We start from the raw sequence: 22,147 nt of genomic DNA, 5'->3' as shown, positions 1-22,147 counted from the left end.
TGCTTGTTTCTAGATGAATCAAAACGTCATTAGCTGCTCATTCAGAATGTATTGAGTGTTCACCATATGCCAGTTATTTTGTTTATTGTGTTGATTGCTGAGGTTACAGAGCAAGTAATAACTAGCACACCTGATGCTGTTAAATCTATGCCAGGCAATATTCTAAGTTCTTTAAAATATTGAATGGTTCATTCCTCAAAACCTAAAGAGGAAGGTATTACTTACTCTTATACCAGTTTTACAGGTGAGGAAACTGATTCAGAGAGGTTAAATAACTTGCTCCAAATTACAGAGCTCTTAGGTGGCAGAGCAGTGATTCAAACCAGGCAGCCCAGCTCCTAGACCATGCTCTTAACCATCGTGTTCTCACATTCCATGATCATTAAACACCAACAGAAACACTACTGGATGAATGGTTGCCAAGGTCACAGGCCATTGATGACAAAACGAAGAGACAATCCATCCACTTATGAATCCCTGACCACTTGTGATCAGGCCTCTGAGACAATGCCAAGTGAGAGTGAGAAATGCCCACAAGCCTTTCTACAGCCCAAGCTATGCTGAACAAAATCCATCCCCTTCAATGTGGCTTTTTTCAGGTTAATCTTTTGTTCTTAAACCATTCAACAAAAACAAACAAAGACTAACATTACAAATCCCCCAAATTGATATTTCAGATTTTATATATTAGATTCAAAATCCATCCTAATAAAAGATATCTTTAAAGGCAGCACTAATATTTCAGCATTTTCTTCTTTTTTGATAAGAAATCTGCTTTCATGTAAAAGTACTCAAAAGTTGCAAAACTTTCAAGTCACGGTCCTCAGTGGATTTTTCTCAATGAATAATACAGGCTTTGCAATAGATCTTTTAGCCTCCATACCCCAGACATCTTTAGAGGAGGATAATAAATCCCATGGCATAGGTATAATTCAGATTTTCAGCTCCATATTCATATGATTGTTTAATATTTATAGACAAGCACTATTTGTTGGAGGCCCAAGTCAGCCAAACATTTAAAGTAATTTCCCCCAGCAGAAACTCCAGTTTATAAAAATAACTTGGCAAATAATTTGTAAATGATGTTCTTAAGTAATCAGCATGCCATCTAAGGAAATTTTGAAGTTGGTATGCTATTTTAGAGAGGAGCATACAAAAGTTTCCTATACAATTTATTAAGAGACAAAGTCGTAGGTGGAAAAATCCTGAATATTGTCTTTGGGTAGATATAACAGATAGAAAAGCACACCATTTAAAACATGTCACTGCAGGAGTGAGTTAATTATCCACTTTGGCTGTTGAATTGTGTGTTCAAGCTTTATAACTTTTTGGTTAAAAGAACCTGCCGTTTACTGGTTGTGGGCTGTTTTTAATAGAAAAAGTCAAGTGAAGAATTGTCACCATCTCTGCCATAAAGGAAAACATGGTCCATTTTCTTTTTGATATGACTGCAATTCTTTTATCTACTTAATTCAATATGTATATATATACATATTTATCTAGATATGCAGTAATGTAATCTGTAGCTATACAGATCAACTACTATATCCATGGTTCTATTTCAAGCACTGCAAAGGTGAATAAGGCATACTTCCATACCTTAAGAAATTTACTGCCTAGTTAGAAAAATATAGTAAGAAGTACAAGAGTAACTTGTATACTGTCATAAAAGAAGTATGTGATAATTAACAGTTTATAATGTCAAATATATATTTGAAAAGTTCAAAAAAGGAGCAATCACATCTATTCTGAGACACTGAAATACTTCATGGAGAGAATGCATCTGAGAAGGGCTCTGGGTAATAAATGGATAGCAACAGACTTGAAAAGGAGGTTCAAAAAAGAGAATACATACATCGTTATTCAAAAAAAGATACTTGCACATGCATGTTTATAGCAGCACAATTCGCAATTGCAAAATCGTGGAACCAACCCAAATGCTCATCAATCAATGCGTGGATAAAGAAATTGTGATATACATATATATACATATATACGTATATACATATATACGTATATACATATATATGTGTGTATATATGTATCACATGGAATATATATATTCCATAATATATATATATCACATGAAATATATATATTCCATCATATATATATCACATGGAATATATATATTCCATCATATATATATATATCACATGGAATATATATATTCCATCATATATATATATCACATGGAATATATATATTCCATCATATATATATCACATGGAATATATATATATTCCATCATATATATATATCACATGGAATATATATATATTCCATCATATATATATATATATCACATGGAAAATACATATATTCCATCATATATATATATCACATGGAATATACATATATTCCATCATATATATATATCACATGGAATATATATATTACATCATATATATATATCACATGGAATATATATATTCCATCATATATATATATCACATGGAATATATATATTCCATCATATATATATATCACATGGAATATATATATTCCATCATATATATATATCACATGGAATATATATATTCCATCATATATATATATCACATGGAATATATATATTCCATCATATATATATCTCACATGGAATATATATATTCCATCATATATATATCACATGGAATATATATATTCCATCATATATATATATCACATGGAATATATATATTCCATCATATATATATCACATGGAATATATATATTCCATCATATATATATCACATGGAATATATATACATTCCATCATATATGTATATCACATGGAATATATATATTCCATCATATATGTATATCACATGGAATATATATATTCCATCATATATGTATATCACATGGAATATATATATTCCATCATATATGTATATCACATGGAATATATATATTCCATCATATATGTATATCACATGGAATATATATATTCCATCATATATGTATATCACATGGAATATATATATTCCATCATATATGTATATCACATGGAATATATATATTCCATCATATATGTATATCACATGGAATATATATATTCCATCATATATGTATATCACATGGAATATATATATTCCATCATATATGTATATCACATGGAATATATATATTCCATCATATATGTATATCACATGGAATATATATATTCCATCATATATGTATATCACATGGAATATATATATTCCATCATATATGTATATCACATGGAATATATATATATCACATGGAATATATATATATTCCATCATATATATGGAATTCCATCATAGCATTTGCAGCGACCTGGATGAAATTGGAGAATATTATTCTAAGTGAAGTAACTCAGGAATGGAAAACCAAACATTGTATATTCTCATTGATATGTGGGAGCTAAGTTGTGAGGACGCATAGGCATAAAAATGATACAATGGACTTTGGAGACTTGGAGAGAAGAGTGGGAGGGGAGTGAGGGATAAAAGACTAAAAATAGGGTGCTGTGTATACTGCTCAGGTGATGGGTGCATCAAAATCTCACAAATCACCACTAAAGAACTTACTCATGTAAGCAAACACCACCTGTACCCCAATAACCTATGGAAAAATAAAAATAAAAAATAAAGAAAATAAAGAAAAATAGACCAAGGCACATAAAATCAATGAGTGGATAAAGAAATTGTGATACACACACACACACACACACACACACACACACACATATATATATACACAAACACACACATATCACATGGATTATATATATATATATTCCATCATATATATATATAAATCACATGGAATATATATGTATTGCGATATATATATATATCACATGGAATATATATATATTCCACCATATATATGGAATTCCTATATATATATATATATATATATATATATATATATATATATAGGAATTGATGGAATACTACTCAGCCATAAAAAGGAATGAGTTAGAGAAAGAAACAATGCCAAGCCAATAATCAATATGACATCCATAGGAAAAACAGTGAGGAGACCTATTTGACAAGAGCATACAATGCCTTAAAAACTTAAGGTGAGAAAAGTGAGTTGAAAATGAAAATGATGAGCTAACTTGCATTTCACCTTATAAGGTAAAAGACCTTTTGAAGACGGTAATTGTGTAATTGGAGTTGCCATTTATGCAATTATGTCAGGTAGTGACTTGTAAGATGGATAAGCCAGAGGAAACATGAGAGATAGCAAAGCCCAATCCAGATTTTGGTGTGTGTGTGTGGTAAATCACAGTAAAGTGAGGAACCCACAGGTGCTAGAAGGGCAACAGAAAAAAAAAAAAAAGGAATAGGAGAGGATTTGTGAGTCACTGTTAATGAATTTCTAGGTTCTGTCATCTGATTAGATTTAAAACCTGGGTTAAGAACTGTGATCTCTTCAAGATGAATTTTCAAACTTTGATGAGTAGGAGAAGCATCCCAAGGAGAATTTATCAAAAAAAAAAAAAAAGATAAGCCTAACATTAAGCATCAGGCAGTTTAACATGTATGAGTCTGTTGAGAGATCCTTTCAAGCCCCCACAGCATATTCACAAAAGTAGATTTGCTGCTTGAAATCATGAAAGCAGATGCTTTTCTTTGACCAGGACCATTACTAAAAATACCCTCCAAATTTCTTTTGTTTTAGATGAAAGTGCTGCTTAGGTAAATGCGAGCTTTCAAATTTAAGGTGCTGCTATTGTTACTTAGATGTGTTCTTCTTACTTGAGAGTTATATTTCCTGTGGCTTGGGTGTTTTCTGATAATACTAGTACATTCTGAGGGCCCCTCGCACAAATTGGAGGGAACGTCTTCTAGCCAAGCCTGACAAGGCTCATGGCTTTCCAAATGAAGGTCAGAGAGAGTACAGCATTTTGTCATGCAACTCTCCCCAGAAGGTTCAATGGAGCCGACCACTGTGACCACTGCTGTCACTGCTCAGTGATTGACAGTTACATTGCTCAATTCTGTACTCTCATTCCATTTTGTTGTAGTGAAAAATGCAGGTGATTTTGTGTCCTACAGACTTGGACTCTAAGTCTGTTTTAGCCATTTTGGTTACAAACTCATTTAATATAATAATTTTTAATTTAGAAATCTAGGCTTCATCAATTCTACCAGAGATAGTGATTTAATTGTGCAAACTTGAATTGTTATTCATTGTTTTTATACTGTTAATTGACAAATAAAAGTTGTATGTTTGTGATGTAAAATATGATGTTTTTGAGATATATATATATATCTCAAATCAATCTATTTACCTTACATACTTTTTTTGTGTGTGTGGTGAGAACCATTAAAACCTTCTCTCTTAGCAATTTTTTAATATGCAATATGATATGTAAAATAAATCTCTTAAACTTATTTATCCTTTGTAACTGAAATTTTGTTTCCTTTGGCCAATATCTTCCCAATCTCCTATCCCCTACTCCCCAGCCTCTGGTAACCACTGTTTTACTCCCTATTTCTGTGAAATCTTATCATTTGCAACAACATGGATGAACTGGAGGACATTATGTTAAATGAAGTAAGCCAGGCACAAAAAGACAAATACTACATGATTCCATTTATACATGGAACACAAAACAGTTTAACTGAATTTTTGACAACTACTAAAATGGACATTCAGGCAGTTATATGAAGTCAGAAGTAGAACCACGTACTAATCTTCCTTCCCTGTTATCCACCTTAATTATTAATAACATTTTTCCAACATACCACTTTGGTAGTAGATTTGATGATTCCATTCATTTATTTAAAAATATAAATGGGTGCCTATTATGTTCCAAGCAATGTGGTAGGCTCTGAGGACTCACAAGTAATATACACACAGATTTATCCTCAAGTGGTTTATTGTCTAGGGACAGAGAAAGGAACATATACTTTTTTTGAGAATGTTTTTGTCCAGACTTTGAGAAGATATTTATTAGGCAGTCAATGAACCCTTAAAACAATATAGGTTAACACCTATAAAGCAGAGGATGCTATAAAGCAGAGGATGTGGAGAAATAGGAATGCTTTGACACTGTTGGTGGGAGTGCAAATTAGTTCAATCATTGTGGGAGACAGTGTGGCAATTCCTCAAGGATCTAGAACCAGAAATACCATTTGACCCAGCAATCCCATTACAGAGTATATACCCAAAGGATTATAAATCATTCTACTATAAAGACACATGCACACATAGGTTTATTGCAGCACTATTCACAATAGCAATGACTTGGAACCAACCTAAATGCCCATCAATGATACACTGGATAAAGAAAATGTGGCACACATACACCATGGAATACAATGCAGCCATGAAAAAGGATGAGTTCATGTCCTTTGCAGGGACATGGAGGAAGCTGGAAACCATCATTCTCAACAAACTAACAGAGGAACAGAAAACCAAACACCGCGTGTTCTCACTTATTAAGTGGGAGTTGAACAATGAGAACACATGGACATAGGGAGGGGAACATCACACACCAGGGCCTGTTGGAGGGTGGGTGGCTAGGGGAGGGATAGTATTAGGAGAAATACCTAATGTAGATGACGGGTTGATGGGTGCAGCAAGCCACAGTGGCATGTGTATACATATGTAACAAACCTACACATTCTGCAATGTATCCCAGAACTTAAAGTATTATATATATATTTCCTGATAACAGAATCTCACAAATCAATTTTCTAAATATTATTCATCCAAACATTTTTGACAGCCATTAGCCAAACTTCTAATGCTTCATTTATTTACTCCCAGAAATTCCCACAAATTTAATGCATCAGTTTCTAGACAGTTGTTTCTGGACTTTTTATGTTCTCATTGAAATATAGAGAGGAAAAATGGTACTAGAATGAAGAGTCAAATATTACAAGATATCATGTGTCTGGTCATAATCCCTTTTAATTTTCTAAGAATGCAAACCTGGGACTCCTTTTTTGGAAACAAAAATTCCTATTCAGAACTGAAATTGTTCTGACAAGACTCAAGCTAGCTCAGGCAAAGGAGTTACTTCCTCCATGAGATGAAAAATAAAATGAAGCTAGACCTATGCTCTAACAATATACCTTCTGGTACTTATTCCTCTGGCACTTTTGTCCACACCCAGAGACTGAAGTTATTGCACCCAAAGGGAGTATTTTTATCTTTAATTATTTATCTGTAATTGATTATCTTCTAATTAATGAGTTTAATTTAAAGTAATTATAAAATACTCTTCTTTTTCCTAATTTACAAAGAATTAGAGCTGAGGATATTAAATGGTTTCAGGGTACAGGCAGGAAGTGACTTTATTGTTCCCTAGCCATTGCCTTTTAATATTCTATGACAGATCTGCTTTCTGTGCTATTTGACAATAATTTGGGCATATCTTAGATTTCCAATCACTTTCAGTTGTTAGAACACACGATAAGTCAATGATGATGAGAGAGAGAGATAAAGAGAGCAAGAGAGAGAGGAGGCTGGATATTTAAAAATTCAGTCTCTATTAAACACAGGTGTCAATATCATATCTAATTCATGGCTCTTTTCCTTACTCCCATAAGAACTAGTTTTCCTGCAAAGATAATGAATTTTAAGCTTCAGAACTCTGAACTTGGAGGGCCTCTTACAAACCCTGTACCTAATGATGCATTTGTATGTTTTGTGTTCTGCTTTTGAAAGAGCATTCTCCAAATTTCATAAGGCCCTACAAAAACTGGATTCATCTGTCCCAGAAATTTAGGCCTGATCAGTGGACAGAAGGACATGTGGCAGGTGTGGAGGAACTAATCTACTCTCTGACTCCTCCTCCTCCCGCAATCATTTCTACCCCTCACTCCTTGAGAGTTAAAGCAGAAGTGGACTTAGAAGAAAGAAGCAATTGTTTCTTCACTTAACAACAACTGTTGGTAGTTAACTCTTGACTTTAGATACCCTCTCCAAGACAAACACCTAAATGCTGACTTTCTCTTGAAGTAGAATTTCTTGATATGGGCAGTGGTCTCCCTAGATGACCTCAGATGACTACTCACAAATCACTCCTCCCTTGGTTCCTCGTCCTTGATGTTCACACTATATTTATTTGTAGTTCACACTACAAATGTACTATTTGTACATTTAGAAAAATGTATAAATAGTATAGTTTAATCATTGGAAAAAATCATTTATTGAACATTTTCTCTGCATGAGGTTCTACGTGAGATATTTTTCTCACATTATTTCTCAATAGCAATTTAAAACATTACTTGTGGTTAATACACAAAAAAGTCCACACATGCACAAATCTTTAAACAAGTAGCAAATAGCACACTTAATGTATCAATTGTAGGTGCAAAGAGCAGAACGAGACAAGTATGTATCCATATTGTTTGGGGATTTCACAAAGTATAGCTTTAGAAAATTTGGACAGCACAGTGAATTTCCAATATTCCAGACAACTCATTCTGTGTGATAATGAAGATAAGAGATTCATTTGAAGTTCATCTATTGCCAAATAACTTATCCAGAAATTTTGTTGAGAACCTAGCCAGTAAATTAGACATGGAACCTTGAAGTATTGTTAACTCAGTTCAAATAATTGTATCAGGAGCACTGTCTATGTGACTCAACATTCTGTCTCTAGGTTTATACTCTTTGTGGCATGGCATATAGTAGGTACTCATTAAATATTTGTTGATGAAATGAATGAATAAACAAAGGATATCTTCCCCCAACCTATTATTCATCACACAATGCAAACCTGAGACTATATCAGTAAACAGAGAGAAACCTTATCTTAATCTGCCAAGTATGCTTTTTCTTTCTTGCCAAACTTGCCATACACAAGGGTTACATATACATTTCATCTCATTCTCAGCTTCCTCTGAGGTTTATGACTCCATGCAGCAGCCATGTTTCTCTCCACATGCACTAGTAGAATTCCTGGAAAACATGCCAGAGCAAAGAAAATGCTTTCATTCTGCTATCTGTTAAGGAATGAATTTTTTTCAAACATAAAGGAACCTCCCCATAATTATCTGTTTCTCTATTCTTCTGTCGTATGGTTTATCCCAACGCAGGTAAATCAACAATAATTTCATTAAAAGTCTAAAAATCTTAATAGTTGTTCCTTTCTTTGGAAATTAAATTCTTAGAGAATGTAATGAAGCAAGATAAACAAAAAATTTTCATTAGATTGAAATCTTTGATACTGCAATGTGTCCTGGATATATCTGTAGCCTGTTCTTTATTTTTTAACATATTATAAGAATCATAGTTCTTTTTAAAGGGAAACTTTTGAAAATATATCGCTAGTACCATATATGTAATATTTATGACATAATGCTTTACATTATAAAATGAATGTTATGTTGATATTATCATCAATATATAAACACAATTGGAAAAACAAGAAAACAAGGAAGATTCTCTTCATATTTGCAGCTTGCCATTTGTTGAATATTAAAGTTAAATTGCCAGCCCTTTATAGACTTCTCTTTTCTCTTCATAAGTTGACAAGTTTGCCCAAAACAAGACACATTATTACCACGGTGATTCTATGGCAGTGACTTTCCAGAGTTACTGCTCAGGACTTACTGCCTGAATTGATGATAGGAAGCCCTAAATTCTTCTCCTCCTCTCATGATCTTTGCAGCCTTCACCACCCCACGAAGGTGCAGATTACAATCCCAGATGCTGGCCATTTGTGTATATTCCATTGTATTTTAATTTTATAAGCATCATGGCTAGTAGAAATTTCCTATAGAATTATATTCGTAGCCAGAAATGAAAAATGACCACTTTTTTTGGCCTTTCACTTCATTGGAGCTGCACTTAAACTATTACCTATTTAATTCAAGTGTAAAAACAAAACCCACTAAATATTCAAGGTGAAAGTCTGGAGTATGTTTTAGGATGTCTTTTAACCTCAATTAAATTTCTAAATGTATTAATTCTCCATTTCACTTAGCATTTGTTAGGTGAGAAAGGGGGGCCCCAAAAGAGTTTTATAATGATTAGGGCAAGAAGCATATATTGACAAGGAGAGGCTGTGTGATGAAATTTGCCATCCTCAGTGAATACAATGACAGCACCGTGGGCTTAATACATTTTCTAAAATTTTAAACTATGGTGTAATGTTCTTTTTTTGAAAATATACAAGAGTGATGTAAATTGTGTTATTAGTAAACCACTTAGGATTGTGTTTTTAAGGCTTTTTATATTTGAACCCACAAGTAGTTTGCCAGGGAACGGTGCCCTTAATCACTCTCCGTAGCTAAGCAAACACATTAAGCTGACTTTCTAATTGGCATGAGCCGGATTTCCCTCACCATGATGAGTGTGATTTTGAAACCAAGAAACTTTAGGTTTGTCCTTTAAGAAAAGTGATTTACAGGAGAAGGTTGTGGGAGGGAAAAAGGAACTCTATTTTACCCCAAAAAGAGACAACATCCTTGCCCGAGGTAGCATTGTGACATTGCCAATGCAACAGGGTTGTGAAATACTGAGTTTTTGTTTTTGTGGTGATGTCTGAAAGTACTGGTTACTGCACCAATGTCTTGTTATCATGCATCTCTAGTTCTGGATCTACTTCCTTATAATTGCTAATGAAAACAGAGTGATGAGCAGAGCAGTGGCTAGATCTTCAGTTCAATTCTTCTGTTGTTTGTATTAATAGATGACATCTTCTGAAAATTTCTTAATAATTATATTTGGCATTTAAGAAACAAAATACAATTGTCTTTTCCTATATTTTTAAGTCTATTTAAATTTTTGACTTACAAGCTAACTTATCTTTATTTCTCTAATCCTAGGCATCCACTAAAAACAGTCTCTATTAGTGTATATTTTGCAAGTAATCAAAATCACAGTAACTGAGGAAAATTAGGACAAGCCTAATAGTAGCCAAGCTCTAAATAGGCTTTAAAATAAAAATAGGATATGTGACTCAGAATACAGTACTAGTTCTTCATCTTACAGATGTTCTCAGCCATCGGAGTCAGCGTGGGCTATGACACTGGTAAGTGTGGGTGAAATGGGTAAAATTTTGGAGAGAATGATAGGCTTTTTTTTCAGACTATCTTCCAATTACCTCATATTACTTTATGTTTTACAGAATGTACAGAAAACTTTGCCTACTCATTTCTTATTTGCCTTAATAGCAAGCTTTAAGTGAGCCTTAAATTAGTAATAGAATTGCCTCCCTCTTCTAATGGCATTTTAGGTTTATACAAAACCCATCTCAGGAAACAAGTGTCTGGCTTTAGTTACTTATCAGCTGAGTGGCTACCTCATTAAACAAAATTCACTAATGATTTCTGTCATGACACGCCATTCATTGGGCCAACAAGATAGAAAAGACAGCATCTCTGACCACGGAAGGGACATGACAGAAATGCTGTCATGATATTTATATTCCACCTACTCGAAAGACCAATTGAGAAACTCCATATGGACTCCAGTTTGCCACTAGCCCACAGAATTGAAGTTTCTTAGCTGGCTTAAATTAAGAATTTTGGGTAAGTGTAAAACTTTGCATATATTTATTTTCATAAATCTAGGCAGTTTATTTTCATGTAGTTCTTTTCATCCTACCCAATTCTCTTTTAGTTGACACAATAGGCAAAGGAAATACATTCTTAGAAAGCTTGTAAGAAGAGAGGGCCAGGTATAATAGGAGAAAGTAAAAGAACATTGCTTGATAGCTCTAATCTAAGGTGTATTAGTTAGGAAAAGGTATGTACACCTAGTTTAGAACAATAAGAAAAAGAAGGTAGCCTCCATTGAGGTAGATTGGCTGATTTGAATTATCTGAAACCCCTTCCTCTCACTTCTCAACATTGGCCAAATGGCAGGTGGTACAAGTCCAGTTCCCCAGTAAGTTCCTGTAAACAAAACTACTTATTTATAGACAGCTTCTCAGTACTGTTTTTCAGGAGCTCAGTCAGAACGCAACTCAGAGCCACATCAACTGCAAAGAAAAATAAAGATATAAAATCCTGTTTTGAAAAATTTGCTTTACAACTCGAATGAGGTCCGCCATGTATTTGGGGGGATCTTCAGCATCATGGCTTGAGAACAGGTTTAAAGAAACATAGAAATAAGCCCCATGAACTCCTGCATTGGAGCAAAAAGAAAATACGGCTGACATCATGGAAAACTGCCAGCAGAGTTAAGCAAAATTTGAAATATCTACTTCTCCTTTCTATTCTTTCTTCTTTCTTCTTTCTATAGGGCATTCATTGGAATCAGCTTCGATGGAGGAATAACTGAACCACTGTGTATACAGACAGATCATAAAGCGGTGAACTGGGCTATTGAAATACTGAAGCTTTCCCAAAAAACTTTTGCCATATTTATTTATATAATGCAAAGTAAAATAGTAATATCTTTCTTTCAAAAAATACATGTCAATGTGCTTTAATTTATTCTCATAATTCTCCATATGAAATTTGCAGATATGTGAAGATTAACTCAGCATATATTTCAAAAGGTAAAATCTTCAGTAGTTTTAATCTAGGCTTATGTTACATATAGAAAATAGTAGGAAGAGGTATAGTTGCTTATAAGGATGAAAAATATGGCAGCTTTTAGTATAATCTCTTCTTACATTCTAAAGCACTACATGTATTCACCAACAGCTAAATGAAATCACTTTACACATTCACCAATTTTTATTCAGCAACTATTAAATTCAAGACATCTTGTCTGTTCTGAATATAACTGCAAAGGTACATAAATATAACCTTATTCTTCAGAAACAAAATTTCACCAAAGAGAAAAAGTGTAAGCTTATTTGCAGCAAAGATATATTTGCTACTTGCTGGCCCACATGAGGCACCTATTACATATTTACTGAATGAGTGTATAAACCATAAAATCAAGTAATTTAAATATAACATATGATATAAGCCACAAATGTGATTAATTCCTATGGGATTTAGAGCAAGGGGCATCACTGTTAGCTGAATGATCAGTGAAGAACTCACGGAGTTGAATGAGCTGATAAAGATTTTAGTCAGGCAATAGTTCAAAATAGGGCATTGTTTGGTAGGCAGAAATAAAAGAGGAAGTCTCAGGCAGAGAGAACAAAAAGAACAAGACCATATAAGGGTAGGGTATAAATACAGGATGGGAATAAGGGAGATCCAGGAGATCAATTCTATTTGAGTAGGTGGAGCAGTAATGGGAGAAAATGGATTGGAGCCAGATAACAAAGGCCTCGGCTATTACACTGAGGACCTCACACCTTATTCTGAAGACCAGTGTTTTCCATGTCTCCTAGAGTGCTCTTCTATTGCTAAATTGCTTGAGCACTCACCACCATAAGTGTATAGTTATATATCAGAATTTTGTAAAGTATACACATTATATTGTCCATCTATATCTATCCTTTATGTATATACACAGAGATGTACATACATGAACACATATTACAAGTAGACATTTTTAAGTGTCGACTAAGTGTGACACATCTACCATAATTTTTAACCACATATGATAAATGTATTTAGTTATTTTTGTACATATTTGCTTACTACATGTCATCTGTATTCCCTGCTGAATTGTCATCCTTATAAGAGAAGGAAACATTTTCTTGTTCTTTCTATATTGCAAGTGCCTAGTGCAGAATCTGGCACAGAGTAGGTGCTTATTAAATATTTGTTTGATGAAGAAATAAGTTGAACGGTTGACTGATCAAATTTGTTTTGAGGTGAGAATAAACTAATCTGGAGCCATCAAACATTCTTCATATTTCCCACTAGAGACTCTCTATATATCACGTATTATAAACATTAACCTTCAGTCTTGAAACTATCAATGACAGACTCCATATTAAAGAAAAGATGGGAGAAACAAGGCTGTCCCATCTTGAGTATAACACTAAAATGTTCCCTTTTCTTTAACAGCTTTATTAACATATTATTAATATACAATACATTACACACATTCAATGTGTACAATTTGATGATGGATATAGTCATACACCTGTGAAACCATCACCAGAAATCAAAGTAATAGATATGTCCATCACCTCCAAAAGTTTCCTTATGTCCTTTTATTTGTTATTTTTGGTGAGTGTATCTGTGTGTGTGTGTGTGTGTGTGTGTGTGTGTGTGTGTGTGTGTTTAGAATACTTAAGGAAACTGTCTTAATATAGTTCCCATTTCTACAAACTAAAGACATAGCATTTCTTTCCACAGATGTATTTAAAAAGGAATATAAAATTCCATTTATAATTTCTTCATATAAAACGAAGTATCTCAAAATGAGTTTCCTGGAGTCCAGGGGTTCCCAATAGGATCTTTAGAGGCTTTTCTAGGATAAGGGCTAGAAAAATGTGTTTGAGGAGAGTGACTACAGACTGCTATTTCAACTAGCCATCTCCAGTTTTCTTCTTTAATAGAGATACTTTTTATAGGATACTGTTTGGAAAAAAAAGAGCTCAGACAATTAACACAATGTTTTTTAAAACCAATAATATAAAGGTGTTTAAATCCTGTAGAAATACAATAGAGCTAATTAATAACTGTGTGAAATCTAAAATGAATTTTAGTCATTTTTGTCATATTGGTTTGTTTATATATTGGCACACCTACTCCTCAATCTATGGTATTGCTGCTGAAACTACAGTAAAAAGAAATAAAACTACTACTGTAATTAAAGATGCTTTTATCCCTAAAAGTTGTTGGTGATTATTCTTTTTTGTCTTCCCAAATCCATCTCCTCCCCTTTACTACTTATCAACTGGTCTCCCTTGTTAGTTGGCGTCTGGTCAAGGTCAACCAATGGGACGCATTGGAGGGAGATGAGACCATGGGAAGAGAAGAAAGCCATAGCTTATTTTCCAGTTCCTACCTGCATTCACACTGTATGTCTAGCAGTAGCTTCATCTGCCTCTTGGTTTCCTTTTCCACAGTTCTAGTAGTCACTGGACTCTAGTAACACTTTTTCCTTCTGTTCAGGTCCTAGCAGGTTAACAACTTTCCACTGTTGCTATTCTCTGGATCTTCACTATTTCTTTGTTTGCTCCTTTGCTCCTCTCACACCTCTGTAATTAATTTCTTGTCTCTTTATTTGAGCCATCTGGTGAATGATGTTTCCTACCATTTTCTTGGCTGATACAAAGTTAAAGCCTATTAAAACATCTAAAACTAAAATACAGAAAATTAAAATACTGGTCATTAAAATTTTTACCGTTGATTCAACCTTGTTTACCATGTCTCCAATATATCATACTGTACATTCTTTTTGCCAAAAACAATAACTACTCTATATTCTTAGAGACTATTAGCAAATTAAAACTAAAGAAAAAGTTCATATAATGTTATGTAAAAGAATGTCCAGAAAAATTATTACTTCATTGTAAATAAATATTCAGAACTCTCCATTCTGCACTTGCATGCAAGCTAGAAGGTGACAAGACCACATAACTCACCTCACAAAGCCAGAGAAGACTAAAGAAATATCCTCAAAAAAGTTCAAAGAGTAAATTTATATATGTGCACATGTTCACTTAACTACAAAAAAAGCAGAATATGTTATTATCCGAGGCCCAAGAGACTAGTCAATGACTAGTAGCAAAATAGTTTTGCTTAAGTGTCCACTACTGTCTGTATTTCCGCAAAAAAAGTATAGCTGGCAAGCACCTTAATAATCAGAACTAGCATTTACTCTAAAAAATGTTGTCTCAAGAAACCCTGAAAAAAATGTATGACATGAACATGAAGAAACTTTAATAAGACAAAATAAATAAAGAATTGTATGTTTTGAACATATTCTTGAAAAGACATCATAGAAAGTTTCCATAGAGCTTTTTGGAAAACACTGACTGGTTATTTTTATGTAGCTGAAAAAAAAAAGCACGATATTTTACAAAGGAATAAAGAAAAGTGTCTTGCAATGAGTTTTAAAGAAAATCTTGTTTTGAGAGAAATGTTCAGCAATCCACTCTATTATTTTAGGCCTCTTAAAGGAATATCCACAAAATTAATTGATATTAAAAACAAAAGCAATCACTGAATACATACTGTGAGTTAAATAATTATAGCACGATCATGTCTGAAAATCAGAGGGAAATCTCATCTAGATCCATCATTAGTGAATAGGCAGGACATGTTCTCAGGTCAAATAGTTGAAGTAAACTAGATTGCTAGAGTAGTGTCTTCTGTCTGCCTTGAATTTACAGAATGGGCATCAAAGAATCCAAAACAAAACAAAGAGGAATGATTTAGGGCAATTTTTGTCTCTGTCAAGTAGAATCACAATACTGAAATAATAAAACATATCTGTAGTTTCTTCAGTGATGCATGTGAAAGACAGCTATGACTATAAGAAATGTATGAGAAATAGCAGTATCCTGCCCATAGTCTACCCACACCAAAGAGAAAGAGTTGAGGTCAGAGGTGAACTTGCCTCCCCCGACAGTTGTATGGCAGAATGGCCAAGACCACCTGACACTGTGAATACAGAAGATGAAAGATTGCCACAGATATCACCAAATTCAGGAAAGCATCAGTGGCTGATGAAATGACATCATGAGTCACATTTGAAATCTAGAGCTCTCAGAAGCCTGATTGATTGGAGAAAAATAGTTTATACATGAGAAAAAGATATGTATTCAAACAGAATTATAAACATAAACAAACCTCATGAGCTACTGAAACCATGATGCCATTTTGCAATTTGATAAGGCTATGTTCTTCTAATTCTGCAGTAATTTTTTTCTCCATATATACGATAAATTTGTTAAAGTCATCACTTTATGCTAATTCCTAATTGTGACATGATCCCTTGGTACTTATAATCTGGCTCTCACTATGACCAATCAATTGAGAATTCTCAGGAAACCTGCAAATTCTCTTTGCAATATGCAACATGATTTACTACCACTTCCACTTATAATTTTTCTTCCTTTGGAACTGATGACATGGTATGCCCAGGGTTTTTTTTTCCTGTGTCTCCAACCATGCTTTCCCTGACACCTTTCCTTTGCTCATCCTCCAGATGTCAGGATGTCTACAGAACAGACATTTTCATCAGAGTATCAATTGTAGGTTTTGGGCCTCAAGACATGAGGGGAAACTGTTCTACATCCTTAGAACTCCATCATCTGCCAATTCCTCAAATTATCTTTGAGATGGTTCACAGGTTTTTTCTTTCTTTTCTCGTCTTTGCTTTTTTTTTTTTTTTTGAGATGAAGTCTCACTCTGTAGCCCAAGCTGGAGTGCAGTGGCACAATCTCAGTTCACTGCAACCTCCACTTCTGGGGCTCAAGAGATTCTAGTGCCTCAGCCTCCCAAGCAGCTGGAACTATAGGTGCACGCCACCGCACCTAGCTAAATTTTTGTATTTTAGTAGTGACAGGGTTTCACCATGTTGCCCAGGGTGGTCTCGAACTCCTGAGCTCAGGCGATCTGCCCACCTTGGCCTCCCAATGTGCTAGGATTACAGGCATGAGCCACTGCTCCCCGCCTGGTTCTCAGGTTTTTTAAGATCAGGAAAAATGAAACTTTGCTTATAACATTCTTACTTTGGCACAGTCTTGTTTCAATGTGGAGTGTGTGTGTGTGTGTTTTTGTGTGTGTGTACATAAAAACAGTCATAGGCAAATCCTTAGGTATATCAATCAGAGCTTTTCAACTCAGAATATTTCTGTGATGCACATGTTTATTGTAAAAGTATGTTATGTACTAGTATGGGGACTTGCTCATTATGATAGAAATAATATTTATTTTCTACAAGTTACAAATGTTTTACCTAAGAAATAGTTAAGTAAGAATGGAAAGTTAGTGGACAATTATGATTAGCTGAAGAAAGTTTACTTCCTATAGCAAATAAATTACGATTGATAAGAAACCTTCCTCAGCATACAGACTTGCCTTGCAAGATTTGGTCACTTTTTTTTTCACAAGAGACTTAGTTATTGGTTTGTATAATTTCCTTGGAACACAAAATATTATCCAAAATTACTTTTTCTACCAAGTCTAGCAGTTATCAGCTACAACCTTGTTTGTATGTTTTGAAAGGTACTATAAATACCTGTTCCCTTTCCCCAACTCTTCACCTTATAAGTGCCTTGGGGACTCTCCTATTTCCTTGATGTCCTGAGTTTGAATTCCCTAGTAAACCCACTGAGTATGTGCTGTTATATGAAATGCTAGGTTGTTATTAGAATGAACCAGTTGATGACGAAGACATGAGTCCCTGAGAAGTTCAGATATTTGCTCGGCACAGACAGGGAATAAGAGAGTAAACCAGAACAGTGTTACCTGACAGATTTGGTGTAGAGCACCTCTTAGCCATCATAGTGTATTAAACTAAAAATATCTAAACCCAAGATCTATGCTAAATCAGGTAACACTTGTATTTTATTCTCATATAAATAGGTAGTGGTAGTTACCGATATTTTGAGAAAGATTTTCAAAGAAAACATTGAATTGGAAAAACTTAATATATATTTTTTTCAAATAAATTGGGAAAACATTAACTTTAGCACTGAAACAAATGGAACCTTAAGGAAAATTTTTAGAAGAGAGCTTGCAGACTTCTATACTGTATCACAAAGTAATAAAACCACAGACTATATGGGATGAATCATAGCTTATACATTATTTATACAAATCCTTTAATTTTAGGAATATGAAAAATGAGGCTCAGATAATCGGGTGAATTTCCAGGTTCTATAACCACATACAACCGAATTGGGACTCTAGAACGTGGGTATTCTGATTCCTCATTCAGCACAATTTTCCCTGCTCAACAGTCTCTTCTGCCCTCTTCTTTCATGAAAATAACTTTTTTCTAAAAACTTCCAAGACATATGAAAGTATTACAGGTTTCATGGTTAAAAAGTTGAAGTTCTAAATTGTTTTTAATTAGTATTTGATTTACCACTTTTTATGGTCCTTATCCAGCTATTTCAATATATTTTTTAAAAGAAAATAAAAACTGTTGCTCAGTAATGATCTTTAAAATTCAGTGGCTTGAGTGCATTAGGATTTCACTGAAGACTACTTAAACAAAACTCTTTTAATAACTTTTGAAATCAACATTTGAACAAATAATTATTGAGCTATTATATGACCTACATGCTAACATGTAAATATTTGGTATTCAAGAGGCAATAATTTAACTTGGAATTATAAACGTATTTTAGAAAATCTGATTTCTTGAGATTTGGGTATCCATTAATTTTTGCCACTTTTGTGTATTTCAAATACCCCAGAGTTTAATGGTAGTATTCACAAACTTATTTACTTGCAGTTCTGCCTTTCCTTGAGGCATTTCTAAGTGCCCAAAACTATTAATAAGGATGAATAAATAGACACAAATGAGCTTATTTTCAGTCATTTACAATTTAGTCTACTATGTGCTAATCCTGTGTCCTCCGTTAATCAACTCCAAAGCACAAGCCTTCCACTGTGCTCTATAGAGATGAGGTATATGTGGTGGAATTCAGTCAAAATATTAATTTAGACATTTGGGAACCATCACCTCCTTGAGAAAACTATCAGGTAAAATACATTCATTTTCAGCCAAGTTAAATTCCCATGTCCATGAATTGCACAACTCTGTTAAAGTCAGTAAGTATCAAAGTCTTGAGCTAGGGACGAGACAACATTGCCCAATAACCACAATTAGGGTTTCCAGCATCTGCTGTTCCTCTTTTATAAATCTGAATTCTTCTTCCTGTGCTATCTCTCATACACATTATTCATGCTGATGTTGAAAGAGTGGCAATTTGTGAGGAGAGTTCAGTAGTTTCATTCTAGCACTGGAAATCACTGTCCACATAACAGAAGGAAAACTGATCCCAGGAAATTGTCTCATAAACGTTCTTAAACCCCCCCACATTGTATTATGATGCACTTTAAACATACAGGGAGTATAGTATTTTGTTAAATATTTGGTTTGTCCTGAACACTGAAACTAAGATTTTTTAACCCTCGGTTTCAAGTTCCTTCACTGACTTGCCCTGATTTGACTTCTCTTTTTTTTCCTCCATTCCCATATTTGTCCTTTAATCAATAAACTCTACCTAACTTGCAATAAAATCTCTTGTTCCTGGCTGCCATTCTAACTCACATTTAAAATTTCTCACCAGTATCCAAAATTCTTTCTTTCCCCTAATTCACAGAGCTCTCAAGATATAACAATTTACTGTTATTGATATTTAAATGCAATGATCATTTCCACTAATCCACTCTATATTCTTCAGGAAATTTTCCCCTTTGCTCTTTATAGTATCAGAGAGAGAAAGAGAGACAGAGAGAGAGAGAGATAAAGAGAGTAAGACAGAGCAGAGCGAGGGAAAGAGAAATCTCATACATTTAAATCAGACTTAAAAATAGATAATAGCCCCTCAAGCCCTAAGCCTGAATGAAATAAAATAAGATCTAGTGAGAATCAAAAAGTGGAACTGAAAGAAAAAATTAAACATATTTCTCTTCGTTAAAAACATTTGTTTGATTTTTATGGAAATCTGAGTTTTTATAAAACTCTAAATATTATTTGGTGAAAAACTATGTCTTCTCTGATACAGAAATTGACCAAACTTGCAGATTACCAAGAAGAAAATTCCATGTGGGAAGGGCCAATTTTGTACTCACACTGAATTTTTGAGCAAAATACACATTTGGAAACAAGAAAATATGAAACAATTATGTGTTTATATTATGCATTCAATTAATATTTCCAAATATGTAAAATTCTTTGTAGGGCAGATGGGAAGTCCAGGTACAGCTGATCATTTTTATATTAAATACAGTATATACATCTTTCAACACTCTTCATAAATGACAAATTGTTCTATGTGTGACCTAAGATTTCTGGCTGAACCAAAAGAATCTCCATGATACATGTTCTTGAGGTTTGTAATAAATAAACTTTTGGCTTGAGGGAGAAGTTGACTTGTTGATTTGATGACTTGTTACAGCCAACTTTCAGGAAATATCTAAAAATATTTTCAACATAAAGTTAGCAATGTTCAGAAGGCATCCTAACGCTTTTATCCACTCCTTCTATGCAGACCACATTTGTTTTCCATGTAATCCTTTTCCCCTCCTAACAACAGCTGTAGCACTACTTAGCACCCATTGGTCTAATGCTATTCTTAACTAAAACTACTAAATTACGTCTCAGAGAAGTACTAGAGAGAGCCAAAGAGTAACTCAGGTGGAGTTCCATTGTCCTACCCAACAAGTTATCCATTCTGCTCTTACTAAATCACATACTAATCAATCAGATGATCAACCAAACTAAAAGTTCATTGATAATTTATTACATGGAAGTCACTGTAGTTAGTGATTTTTTGATAATACAAAGAAATGTATTACTGACAGAGGATTTAACATTGTTATTTTGACTACCCTCAAGCAATAATCAAGGGTTCATGACATGCAGCAATTTGTAATTTTGCTGAGGCACGAAATTGAATTACATGTGGCAAGAGGCTGGTTTCTAGCAGGAATCCTTTAGCTAGAGTGTGCCTTTGTGATTGACCCACACATCTTCTCACAGTGGTTTAGATATTCTCTTTGTGGTCAAGTTACTATGTAATAATTCTCATGATATGATTTTTTAAATAAATATTTTCTTCGTGAGTACTTTTCCAGCAAATGAAGTCAGCTACTAGTTCTGGTGATAAAAGTAAAGTGGAAGCAAAACTATCCAAGAAAGTGATGGTTCTAATCCAGGAAATAAAAGCTTTATGGAGACAATTACATGTTAAACTGACATTCATGAATTTGGGACTGTGGTATCCCTCATGAATATTGAGGATCTGCCATATAAAATAAAGTCCTTATCTTTAGGGAACATTTAGAATAACACAAAGTTACCTTCTTACAACCCACATTAGCTTTAGATCATTGCAGAAATGAATGTCATTTTAATTACATTTTAAGATCAAGACATTCATGTTATTTGTATTTTGCTGAATACCATGCATAAAATCACCACAGTATCTCCTCTTTCACAATACAAGATTTGAAATAATGACAAAATACGGAAGTTTTAATAACTTAGTTATTTCTTTTTAGTTTTAGGTCACAACTAATACAACTTAGGTTAAAATGAAGCTATGAATAAGAAAAAAAACCTTCCAATTAATTGCGTCAATATATAATACACACCTAGGTTAAAACAACTTCATAGGGAAGTGGGATTTGATATATTCTCAAGTTGGCTTAAATACTTTTTCTAGGCA

The 22,147-nt window shown here is 33.8% G+C and overlaps 1 long non-coding RNA gene across 6 annotated transcripts in view, besides 1 other annotated feature; it reads right to left on the bottom strand.

Annotated features, from left to right (window-relative positions):
* Positions 1–22,147, bottom strand: part of MEF2C-AS1 (MEF2C antisense RNA 1) — a 584,252-nt gene that overhangs the window by 153,952 nt on the left and 408,153 nt on the right. The window lies entirely within an intron of this gene.
* Positions 2–91: an enhancer, noted in NCBI's record as "active region_22771". NCBI's record gives its function as "activates an Ori minimal core promoter by ATAC-STARR-seq in GM12878 lymphoblastoid cells {active_cell/tissue: GM12878}" and the evidence as "EXISTENCE:reporter gene assay evidence [ECO:0000049][PMID:35858748]".

Source organism: Homo sapiens, chromosome 5 (genome assembly GCF_000001405.40).
Source record: "Homo sapiens chromosome 5, GRCh38.p14 Primary Assembly".
Lineage (NCBI taxonomy): Eukaryota > Metazoa > Chordata > Mammalia > Primates > Hominidae > Homo > Homo sapiens.
Note: the sequence above shows the minus strand (reverse complement) of the source record. Positions and strands in the feature narration are given on the sequence as shown.